Source organism: Homo sapiens, chromosome 9 (assembly GCF_000001405.40).
Source record: "Homo sapiens chromosome 9, GRCh38.p14 Primary Assembly".
In the NCBI taxonomy this organism is placed as follows: domain Eukaryota; kingdom Metazoa; phylum Chordata; class Mammalia; order Primates; family Hominidae; genus Homo; species Homo sapiens.
This window is the reverse complement of record NC_000009.12, coordinates 23,571,048-23,583,714: the sequence shown is the minus strand read 5'-3', so window position 1 is coordinate 23,583,714 and position 12,667 is coordinate 23,571,048. Positions and strand designations below refer to the sequence as shown.

The window sequence follows — 12,667 nt, the reverse complement described above, 5'->3', positions numbered from 1 at the left end:
GCTATAATCCTCTGTTTTCCTACAACATTATTCATTGTTTTAAAATTCTTTCTGTGTGTGATAAACCTATTTCTTTTTGCTTTCTAGATGAGTATAGTTACATAAACCCCTGAGCGTGAGAGTATGTGAGTGAATCAGTGGGCAAAGGATAAGTGTGAAAGTTACTGTAAAATATTAGTTGGATCCTTAACCTACAGTTAGTAATACGTAAGTGATGGAGAACGAAGGTCTTACCTATTTGACTTGCTTTAGCGTATGAAGGGTAAATATAACAATTAAAGAGCTGATCATGATTATTCAGAATAAGGAAAACACATTTCTCAAGACTAATTTTCTTGATTACCAGTTTTCAGATTGATGTGACTTTGACACAGGATATTTCTACTTGGAGCGCATCTCAAAATATCTTGTACTAATATAGCTTTCGTTCTATAAAATTTGATTCATCAGTAGGAAATCTGTCATAAGAGGAGAATATGAAATTCAACCATAAGCCGACCTGAGTTAGAAATACAGCTCTACCATTACTAACCATGGGATCTTGTGGTGTAATAAAAAATATAAACTTGGTCTTTGCCCCTGGTTCCTGGCACAGATTTCTAAAACCCTTGGACTTCACTGTCTTTTGTGTACTAATGAGATGACTAAACCATGGGCAGAGGCTTTAGAGAGTCATGTGACTAGAATGTTAGAACTGTCAGCCCCACCCCTTGATTTCCAGAGAGGAAAGAGGGGCTGGAGATTGAATTTAGTCACCAGTGACCAATGATTTAGTCAACCGTGCCTATATAGCGAAGCCTTCATAAAAACTCCTAAGCGACAGTGTTTGGTGAGCTTCTTAATTGGTGAACATGTTGATATTCTAGGAAGGTGGTGCACCTGGAGAGGGCATGGAAGCTCTGGACTACCCCTCTACCCCTTCCATATCTTGTTCTAGTGTCTCTTCCATTTGGCTATCCTTTAAGTGTAGTGTTTTCCTGAGATCTATGAGTTTTTCTAAGGAATTATAAACTTGAGGAGAGGGTCGTGGGAACCCCTGAATTTGTAGTCAGCTGGGCAGAAGTGTGGGTAGCCTGAGCACCCCACTTGCAGTTGGCATCTGAAGTGGGAGAAGTCTTGTGGGATTGAGCCCTTGAGCTGTACGATCTGTGTCAACTCTGGGTATTGACATCTGAAGAATGATGAGTTTCATAAATTTGGACAGGAAAACTATTTCTCATAAAAGAGAAATAAACTGGCCATTCCACAGGCTAGGAACCATGGCCTTTGGCCACCGAGAGCAAGCACTTTGAGGGAAGGAAGCATAATACAGGAATTTATGCTGAACAGGTTGGCTAAGTATACATATTTAATAGCTATATAAGGAATATTTGAAAGGAGAAACATATGCATGCACAACTGAGCTTCATGGCTCTTCATGAGTCACATGTTCGAAAATAAAGGGTGTTGTTAGCATGGTCCAAGGGTGGAGTTTTGAGCTCGCTGATGTCAAAAGGTGAAGCAGAGGGACACGAGAACCCTCACTGTGCATCCTCCATGAGTTGGCCAAAACCAGCCTGGAGAGGGTGGTTAGTTTTCAGGAAGGATGCATTGTGAAACTGGTGAGTTGTCATGTAGAAACAGCAAAGAGGGAGGGGAAGTGCAGACATGGCCTCAGATGGTTGGTTAAAGGTGATTAATGAAATGAGTTGTCTGTTTCTTCTTTTCCAAAGCTGGTTTCTGTTTACTCCTTAGGAAAGAATTCTGGTTAAAGGTTAATAAGAAAGGAGCATACTGAGGCATGTCTCACCACTTGTCCTGTCATGGCCAGGAACTCAGTTTTTAAGATTTCTCTGGTGTCTCCTTGGGTCTTAGGATTTTGTTTTTATTTCTCAATAGTTGTTGGAATTGAATTAAATTGTCGGACACCCAGTTGATGTCAAAGATTTAGAGAATTTGTTTGGAAAACAACGTGTATTTGGTGTCCAGAAAAATAACATAGTTCTAAAGCAAGTTTCTGAACTACAGTAAACTTTTTAGTAATCTCTCTTTAAAAAGCTGGGGGGTATTGTAAGACCTTAAAAAGTGGTTAGGAGGACCGAAGGAAATAATGTATATAAATCTCCTAGTGCAGTGTTTATTTAGTAACTGTACATAAATTACATAAATGTTAACACCCACCCTCATTTTTCCACCTGAGTTTTAAAGGAGTGCCAGACATCTGTGGTGTACTGTTTAAAATGTGGTGGAGAGCATGGCAAATAAATCATTTATGGAGGCTCTAAATTACCTGGTGGAGAGACAGAAAGGAAAATCCTGAGAACTCTGCATGAAATGGAAAAATATGGAGAGTTATCTTTTGTGGTACTTTAACAGACAATTGAACAACAGTTTCACCCCAATATTTATAAATGGCTTGATAACCAGAAAGGAAAGCTCTTTTAGCATATTGTCTCTGCCTTGTTGAATTTTTTTATTCTAACGATTTGGATGACATCATGGAGGGCTTGTTTGGCAAATACGTTCAGGGGGAGAACTTGCATATTTGATGAGTAAGGATGTCAAATAATCTTCTTAGGCCCAGAGACGTGGACCAAAATCGAAATGGTGAGTGTCGACACCAAGGGTAGTTGTAGACATCTACAATCACCCTTGGCGGTTGGTTATAGGCATATTGTGTTATTGTGTTATTGCAAGAGCTATAAAATAAGTAACATTCACTACTTCAGAGTAACCAGAGAAGGGCAACTATCTGGAATGAGGGGTGGACAAAGGGACTACGGAAGTTGCGCCAACTAAGGAAGAGTTCAAGGCCCAAATTGTTTCTCTACAAGAACAGGGATCTCAACTTTGTTGATTTATTTAAAGGGCTGTCATATGCAAGGAGACACAAACTTATTCTGCTCACTCTAAAAATCAGTGTTAGAAACAGTAGATGCATAACACTGAGAAGTAAAATCCAGTTCAAATTATGAAAGACTTTTCTGATCATTAGAGAAATTTAAATGTTGAATTGGCTACTTTACAGAGTAGAGACCTTGTTGCTGGAAATTTTAAGCAGAGGCTGCATGATATGATGAAGAGTATAGTCTAAATAGAGTCTCTTCCAATTCCACCTCTACAAATTCCATAAAATATTTTTTAAAATATTGGACTGCATTAAAACCAAAGGAAGACATTCATAATTCATCTAGCTTTGACAAATCAAATTTGTTTGTTTCTATCCTGTATTAGGTCCCCTTTTAAGGACAAGAGACCCAGACATAGTATGTAGTTGAGTGCATCACTCAAGATACACGCATTCTCAAGTTACTTGATTAGCCTTGCTGTTGAACCAGCCACAACTTCCAACTCACCAAGTCACTATTATCCGTAGCAGCTGTCAGTGAGTGGTCATACCTATGGAAGTTTGCATGGAATGTATGTTCTTTTCTTGATTGTTTTATTAGCTGTTTTCAATTTCTACTTTTTATTTTCACTTTAAAAAGATGGAGAACAACATTTCTTGAGGCAGACACTGTTAATTGACTATCCAGTACCCATTTCTCCCTTTTTTGTTGCTAACAGAATCCAGATTCTATGCCCAACTCCAGACACAAGCTCCAGGAAATACAAGCACTTTCCCAGACTCTTTTGCAGCAAGAGGAAGTCATATAACACTGCTAATGAGATTTAACTGGAAGTCTACTGGGGGCTCATCAAGGCGTACTCTTGCCTTGAAAATGGATTTGTGACCGAAGCTAATGCGGCCATCTTGAGGCAAAAGGGGAAGGCTGAGAGAATTTTAGAGATATCACCCCTGACATTGCTGAGCCATAGAACAAACATCAACACCTGCTTTCTTCTGGACATCTAGCTAGATAAGAAAAAGACACCTATATGTTTGCTTATATCACTGCCTTTGAGTTTTCTGCCACTTGCAGTTGAAATTACTCCTAGTTGACCATTTGCCCTTGGCCTTATTCAGTAGTCAACAAATACTAATAAAACTTGTGCCTTGTGCTTTGTGGGATCCTAGTCACTGTACACAAAGATGAATGAGACAAGAGTACTTCCTTCAGAGAAATCTCAGTTTCAGCTAAGGTCTAAAAGCAGTCAGACAACAGCATAAATATTCAGTTCCTTCTTTTCACTTCTTTTCCTAGGAAGTAGGACTATGGGATGATACATTAGAATGACTGGAGGACAGCTGTTTCAGGAAGTGAGGCCTGTGTTAATTGGCACCTGAATGCTGTTTTCATCATGTGCTTCCTAGGGTTGTTGTGTTAAGATTTTGGTGGCATCTGTACCTGGTGATTTAACTGTTGAGAGGGAAGAGGTAGGGGCAGTGTTTGAGGAGAATGTTAAATTGCATTAATTTTCTGGGTACTTTATTTAGCTCTATTTATCTAAAAGGTGCATTACCACTGTAAACTGTGAATAAGATATTTAGAAATTTCTATTTAAAACCATGTGAATGCTCTTTGTAAGATGCATTTTTGAAGTGGCAATTTATCCCCAAATATCTTGATGATCATGTATTAATATTTTCAGGGAAATGATACATATATTCTTTTCAAGAACTATATATAAACTATGTCTTTAAAAATAAACTCAGCAAAATATAATCTTTAAATAGAAAAAAAAATACCCAAAAGGAAATACACCAAATGTTCATCTAATGCCACTGAATGTTAGGAATTTGTGTGATCAAGAAAATCTTCTTTCTACTTTTTTGACTTTATTCTAATTTTATTGTAATTAGGAAGCATTATTTTTATACTCTAAAAAGAATGAGTCTAAGGAATTATGTACCAAGTCATGACAAATGAATTGACATAGAAACAGCAGAACCATTTTTAATGTGTTTATATAAATAGATCTGTATAATTATAATTAGCTTCTTAAGCACATACTGCTAAAAAGAACAGTTCTATTTACTCAAATTGAAGCTGGCTTTTATTACAATATACAACTCAGTAAGTTAGATGATATTCTAAAGAGAATGAGATAATGGCAGCATTAAAGCCATTGTATTCAGTATGTCTATGTATTATGTATCTGTGCATTAATACCTATCTATGTATGAAGCAGTCAGTGTTACATATCCAAAGCTTTGGTATCAACCTAAAAAGGCTGATGTATTGCTTCTGGGACCTTGAGAGAAGACTATATTGTCACATCCTTTTTATGTGATAAACTCAAGAATCTTCTATTGAGGGACTCTTTTCCCTAAGTGGATGATACTTGATTCTTAAATTCATAAAACCACTGTAAGAAGAGCACACAATCATATATTTTAGATTTTGAAGTCCAAACCTTTAATTTGAAAAGATGAAGATATCAAAGCTTAGTGACAAAAGCATTTTATTCAATTATCTATTTGATAATCATTATACTCTTACTTGACATACAAAGATGATTAAGTGATGGGCCCTGCATTACCACCATTAGGGCCAGGAAGCGGTTCAGTGGATGAAAAGCAGGAAAGCTCAGTTCATGGGAAACAGGGAAGAAAAGGAACCTACATTAAAATTGAAAGCACCCATGGGATGGCAACTGTGGCAGGACAGAGTCACTGATGAGCTTCACTTAAGTAGATTCATCAGAAAGGTGGAGGCAGAAACTAGCTTTTGGAGGAGAGGGGAGGTGGGGAAGGGAAAACATTGGCGGTAGGTTTTCTCTTCTTTCAAAGGTAAATAGGGGTTTGGGGACCAGAATTCAAGTCTGCTGACTCCCAGATTATTACCCATTCTACCAAAGCATTTAAAAGTTTCATGAATGCAGAATTCCATCAATATCAAAATTTAGTAACACTCATCTTATATTCCTCAGGAAGAGCCCCATGTTCAATCTTTATAACCCCTCAATAGAGCTCATTGGCCTATTTCATAATCATGTGCAAGCTCCACTGCAGCAGGCTACTAATTTTTATTTGTTTGTTTTGGCATGGGAGGGCTCAATAAAAGCAAGGACTCTAGTTTTATGTACACGTGTGTTTATGTGCATGGTCATCTCCCCTCAACCCCAATCAGGATTTTATTTTCTCTAAAAATGAGGCCACATATTACAGAACTTGCTGCCCCTGCCAGTACAGACCATTTTGTAATCACCTGCCAACTGTGTGATAGTTCCTACTCTTTCTCTCTCTTGACCCTTGGAAAGTTTAGGTACATAGCTGTTAGCTTCCAACAAACTGCACCCTTCCATTCCCAGCAAATTGTCCATCCTCTCTCAAACCCAAATTATCTGATTGCTCTGCCATTCCCTACTTCTAGGTCCACCAAATATTAACCCTCCTCTGGATCCTTTCCACTGAGTGCTCAGAAACGTTCCTTTCTCTGTTAAACTGTACCCTACATCCTCAACCTTTTAGATGGAGTCTTGCTCTGTTGCCCAGGCTGGAGTGCAGTGGCATGATCTTGGCTCACTGCAACCTCCTGCAACCTCTGCCTCCCGAGTTCAAGCGATTCTCCTGCCTCAGCCTCCCGGGTAGCTGGGACTACAGTTGCGTGCCACCATCCCCAGCTAATTTTTTGTATTTTTAGTAGAGACGGGATTTTACCATGTTAGCCAGGATGGTCTCGAGCTCTGGACCTCGTGATTCATCTGCCTGAGCCTCCCAAAGTGTTGGGATTACAGGCGTGAGCCACCACGCCTGGCCCCTCGACCTTTTATCAAAATGACATTCAGCCAAATTAAAAAACCTTTGTCTTCCTCAGAATACCCTTTTTTAAAAAAAAAAAAAAAAATTGCTCTGCAGTGAAGGCCAATCTTCCCTTAAACTCCATATTTCATGGGGCCAGGAAGGGGGCTTGTCATTCTCCCAACTTTCCAAAATATTTCCAAGTCATTAATCATTCTCCGTCATTGAAAACACATTCTACTCCGAGGATCAGGCCTCCCAGTTGTAGCCTCAACCCTTCTCCTTCCCTGTTGTCCTCAGGCTTGCCTCTCTCTTCCAGTGAAACCTTGACACCTGGGCGCAGAGTTTTCTTCTTTATGCTAACTACCCGAGTATCAGGATGTCCCTAGCTACAGAATAAGCCTATGGTATGCAAGTGAATGCTTCACTTGGCCACATAGGCATTTGCGTTCCCATTTTGAGCAGGACTACCAGGAGGAGCAAAGCGGATTCCAAGCAGGGACTATGTGCTTTCAAGAGCAAGTGGTGTGCTGAGTGGCAGATCCCAGGACACTTTCTCTCTAGAACATCTAGGGGCTGCAGGGAGACAGGAGACTTTTCAGAAAACTTCAGATCTATTCAGGTAGGATCTTAAAAATCCTGGACCACAAGCAGAAAAAGACGTTGTTTCAAATTGCCCCTAGGGCTCGGGTGAAACACTATAGTATGACTGCAGATTTTAAAAAGAGCAAGAATATTCCAGCTAATCAGGGAATTGCTTGAAAAAAAATCTTTCAATAATAATAATAATATTAATAAGGAAAAGTCAGAGAGCTCCAGGAGGCTCTGATAAAAAAAAAAAAACAACACAAATATGTTACAATCTTTGGTGAAAGGAACTCAAAATAGTTTCCTCTCTAGTTTCAACTGCTTGCACGTCTGCCTTTGCTCTCCCAGCTTAGCTTTATCTGTGTAGTGTCAGTTAGATTTGACCTGTGAGGGAAGATCTTTGCTTTTCATTTCTGCCAGCTGCAGGAGTTTCTTGCTGGGCAATGCTTTTGCTTCATCCTTTTAATGGTTGACCAAAGTGATAAATGCTGGGGGTGAAGGGGAGAATCATCTTATTCAGAAACCAGAATAATTCTGAATCCATTGAATGGAGAGGCCAGGCTAAGAGTCTGCCTTGGACCTTCCCTATCTTGGCTTTTATTAAACAACAATCAGACAGGGGGAGTGGGGGTGTGGAGGAAGAAGCAGAATGTTTTCTCTCCTGAATACTGGATTTATTTCTGACACATATAGCAGTTCCAAAGAGAAAATGGCTTTTTAACATGTCTTAAGCAGACAGCTAAAAATCTTGAATTCTGAATCACAATTCAGCTCTGACTTAATTCATAAATATTATAGCCAGGAAGAAACACAGTCTCACATAGCTGAACCCCTCCATTTTACAGATGTACAAATTGAGGCCCCAAGAGAATACCGTATGTGACTTAAGACAATATGCTAATGCTCTTTTCTCATCAGCATCATCTTTGCAGCGTTTTCTCTCCCAAATCAAATTCTCTAATATTCATCTTACTTATATGGTAAAATTCTTTTCTCCCTACCCAAACTCATTTCTATTGACTCATTCTTCCAAGAAGTCAGGATACCTGATAGCCTTTATCTCTTATTTTACATAGTTCTTATTAAGTAAGGGATATAGTTTCCTGGGGACGGTTAATACTCAGAAAGTGTCTTATGACTTGTTCAAGATAAGAAAGAATTGAGAACCAAGAGCTGAAAGTGACAGGAATCCAAATATATATTTAACAGAAGAAGTGACTCTCTAGAGTATGCTAGAAAGGAGGAGGCTTTAGATCTGGGGAATTACTATGATCAATCACACTGTGCATAGTCGACTCATGGAACCTTGAGCCAGTTTACTTCCTTCTCTTACTCTTCTGCTTCCAGGTCAAATCGAGGCTAAAGCATGGCACACATTTTTTTTTCTTTTTAATGATTTCACCTTTCTGACTGAATACTTGTTTGCCATCTTACATTACCTAAATAAATAGATACATATGAGAAAGGCTGATCTCTAATTTTTTCATCTTTGTGTGTGTGTGTGTGCGCGCATGTGGTGATATAAGTCCTTTATTCTGTTTGTTCTGCTTTCAACTGATCAGAAAACAGGTCATAGTCTCCGTGAACCATTTGGTCTTCCCCGAACTTGATCCGATGGGCAGAATATAGTTTTTGTTCTTGGAGACAGGGTAATTACTTTGTACTTTTCTTAATGGATTCTTGATCAATTGTATTGCCTAAAATTTTCTCTTTTACTTCATATCTCAGCATTTGACTCTAAAAACCAATATGTTGCTGTCTTTGTTTTATGATTCTTCTTAGCAACTTCCTCTTGGTCTGAATGAGAAATATCATGGGATTAAAAAACAATGGGGATGAGGACAACAAACATCAGAGGTCGGACCTTGAAGAATTTGTAATCTTATGTAGAAAGTAATAGGAAAACCTTGCAGAAAAGAAAAAAAAAATAACAATCCCAGAAAGTTGTGCCACGTTGAGGTTTGTGAAACTATAGCAATGTTAGTGGACATTACTCTTGAAGAGAAGATGATTAGCCAGAAGATATGAATAGTGAATAAGCCTTCATTTTCAACTTAAATTCTAATTTCCTCTAGCATACAAGTCAGAGTAGTAACATACTGGTGGTACTTTCTTTTGAGAGAGCAATTTTGGTTTCTCCCTGCCTCATTCTTAAATGAAAAGGTTACTTCCTACCACTAGAGGTGAGAATGTTAAAATGGCATTCTTTTATTTATTTTTAGTTGTATATCTATCATCTTTTCCAAATGATTTGTGAAAAGTAAAACCTTAACATTATGGGGTTGGAAATTTTCTTTCTTTCCTTTTTAAAAGAATTTTTGAGTAGCAGTGGCTCCCAATTCTATAGTGTGACTTTGGGTGGATAATTACTATAGAATACTGCAGACCTTTTTTTTTTTCTCCTGTAGAGTGATTGATTTTAACCTTTCTCCTCTGCCAAACCTTTGTTCTGTGCATGACATTTCAACCCCCACCACTTCCTATGTTCTATTTTGCTAAAGAAAATAGCATTTTCTATTTCTGGACAAAGCATGGTTGTTTGTGTCAGTCCATTTAACACAATACACCAGTTCTTATTTGTGCAGAGGAAGCACTAATAAGATTCCAGCAGGAGATGGGTCCTGAGCCCATGACCATGTCTCCCACTGGGCCCAGAAGATGGAAGCTACAATAAGCCCTTACTGACAAGGCTACTTAATGGTAATATAGGACCTTTTTGTCTCAGAAACTTCCAAGTAGTATGGAGTCCCAATTCCTGCCCTATACACTCATTCCTGCAAATTGTACAAGGACATGGAAATAAAATGGTTACGTGGGGTAGTGGAAAGGGCAGGCATTTTGGAGATTGTGTCATAACTTCGATCTCTGCTCTGTTGTTTACCAGCTCTGAACCATTAGCATTACATATCTTTTCTGAGCCTCTGGTTCCTCATCTGAAATGCCAAAAAAAAAAAAAAAAAATATATATATATATATATATATATATATATATATATATATATATATATATATATAGGTTTCAATTTTGCAGGGTTGGTGAGAAGATGAAATAAGCTAATGAACACAAAGCTCTTAGCATAGTTTATGTTATGTTACATGGCAGTCACTCAATAAATGGTAGCTATTGAAATGAACCTATTGCATTTTGATGAAATAAGCAATTCTGTTTTTGTTGTTGTTGTTAGGGTGCTATGGTTTGGATTTGTGTCCCCATCCAAATCTCATGTGTGAATTATAATCCCCAGTGATGGAGGAGGGGCCTGATGGGAGGTGATTGGATCATGGGGGCAGACTTCCCCCTTGCCATTCTCCTTACTGTGAGTGAGTTCTCACAGAGCTGGCTGTTTAAAAATTTGTAGCACCTCCCCCTTCATTCTCTTTCTCCTGCTCCGGCCGTGTAAGACGTGCCTGCTTCCTCTTTGCTTCCCGCCATGATTGTAAGTTTTCTGAGGCCTTCCCAGCCATGCTTCTTGTACACCCTGTGGAACAGTGAGTCAGTTAAACTTCTTTTCTTTACAAATTACCCAGTCCCAGATGGTTCTTTATAGCAATGTGGTACAGGGTCTCGCTCTGTTGCCCAGACTGGAGTGCAATGGCATGATCATGGCTTGCTGCAGCCTTGACCTCCTGGGCTCAAGGGATCCTTCCACCTCAGCCTCCACAGTAACTGGGACCACAGGTTTGTACCACCACACCGGGCTAATTTGTTTATATTTTGTAGAGATAGGTTCTTGCCATGTTGCCCAGGATGGCCTCAAACTCCTGGGCTCAAGCAATCCTCCAATCTCAGCCTCCCAAAGTGCTGGGATTACAGACCTGGATAAAGTAAGCAATTCTTATTGTGAGGTGTTGTTTTTCATTTAAAACAAGGTTACAAACCTCCAGCCTTTTTGTTCCATAGAGTAAATTAGCTATGGGAACAGTTTAAAATATTTTATATCACTGCTATTTATGCCTTAATCCATTAGGCAATCACTTAATGAATGACTACTAGATGCCAGGCACCGTGCTGGATGCCTGCGTCTAGAAGGAAAAACAAAGTGCAGAGAGGCAGTATCATGGAGAGGAAAGAGCCTCTAGTATAAGCAGATGTGGCTCCCCATTCTGGCTCTGCTGTTTACTAACTGTGATTTGGTTGGGTTATTTAACTTTTCTGAGCCTCATTTTCTGAGCCTACATTCTACAGATAATGTAGAATGTTGATAATAATACATCCTTCACAAAGCTGTGATGATAGTTAATAAAGCAGTTAGATTCAAAACACAATTGGGATGATGATAAAAATATTTACTAACCAGTATGATTAGTAAATCAGGAAGAAGCAAGTGTAGAAAAGCAGTAAACTTGTACATATCAGCATGTCAGCAGAATATCAGCCCTGCTTTCAACAGGGCCTAGAACATAGGAGGGAGGAACTCAGATTTTAGTTTGAGGCTGGGAGTTGTATCATTTACATTGTTCCTTTTCTATGTATTATAATGTTTTTACATCTTAAAAATCTTTCTTACTGGGGAGAGACTGTTAATTCTTAGAGACAGCCCAGGACTCAGCCAGGAGCATTGCCTTTGATATGCAAACTAACCAATCAAGAGCCGTACCTCTTCTGTCTAGCCCATACACCACAGGAAGCAATATTCCTTCACTGTAAGCATCCCTGGCCAGGTACCAGGCAACTACAGACCATCCCTAGAGCCCAAAGGCCACCAGAATTACTCAATTTAGTCAGTCCTAATCTGTTTACTATACCCCGCCTTGCCTTTCCTGAGGAAACCCCCAACAAAGGCTCTGGTCTAGACTTTCCCCTGGCTATTATATTTTGTCTCCTGACCAAAACCTGGTGCTTCCCCTGTGACCCTACATAGGTATGTGTATTAGTCTGTTCTCACACTGCTAATAAAGACATACTTGAGACTGGCTAATTTATAAAGGAAAGAGGTTTAATTGACTCATAGTTCCACATGGCTGGGGAGGCCTCCAATCAGGGCAGAAGAGTAAGGGACATCATACATGGTGACAGGCAAGAGAGAATGAAAGCCAAGCAAAGGGGGAAACCCCTTTTAAAACCATCAGGTCTTGTGAGATGTATTCACTACTAGGAGAACAATATGGGGAAACCACCCCCATGATTCAGTTATCTCCCACCTGGTTCCTCCCAAAACATGTGGGAATTACGGGAGCTACAATTCAAGATGAGATTTGGATGGGGACACCGCCAAACAATATCAGCATGCCTTTTGTTTCTAGGACCAGTGAGTATAATAAACTTTGTTTCCCTGAGCCTCTTCCGTGTTTCCTCTTGTAAGCACACCTGACTGACCATCATAAACACAGGAGTAGACATAGAGATATTTAAATGATGGCCATACAGTATGAAATGTGCTATAATAAAAGCATATAAAAGGGCAAAGCCAGCACAGTGTAGAGAGCCCCTAAACCTAACTTGAGGAAATTAAGGAATGAGAAGAAGACAAAGCA

General features: G+C 39.3%; 1 long non-coding RNA gene across 1 annotated transcript in view, besides 1 other annotated feature; it reads left to right on the top strand.

Annotated features, from left to right (window-relative positions):
* LOC101929563 (uncharacterized) overlaps nucleotides 1–12,667 on the top strand; it is a 171,709-nt gene that overhangs the window by 88,685 nt on the left and 70,357 nt on the right. The window lies entirely within an intron of this gene.
* Nucleotides 11,497–12,078: an enhancer, noted in NCBI's record as "OCT4-NANOG hESC enhancer chr9:23571635-23572216 (GRCh37/hg19 assembly coordinates)". NCBI's record gives its function as "activates a minimal SCP1, AML or CMV promoter by ChIP-STARR-seq in primed H9 embryonic stem cells {active_cell/tissue: H9 hESC(primed)}" and the evidence as "EXISTENCE:reporter gene assay evidence [ECO:0000049][PMID:30033119]".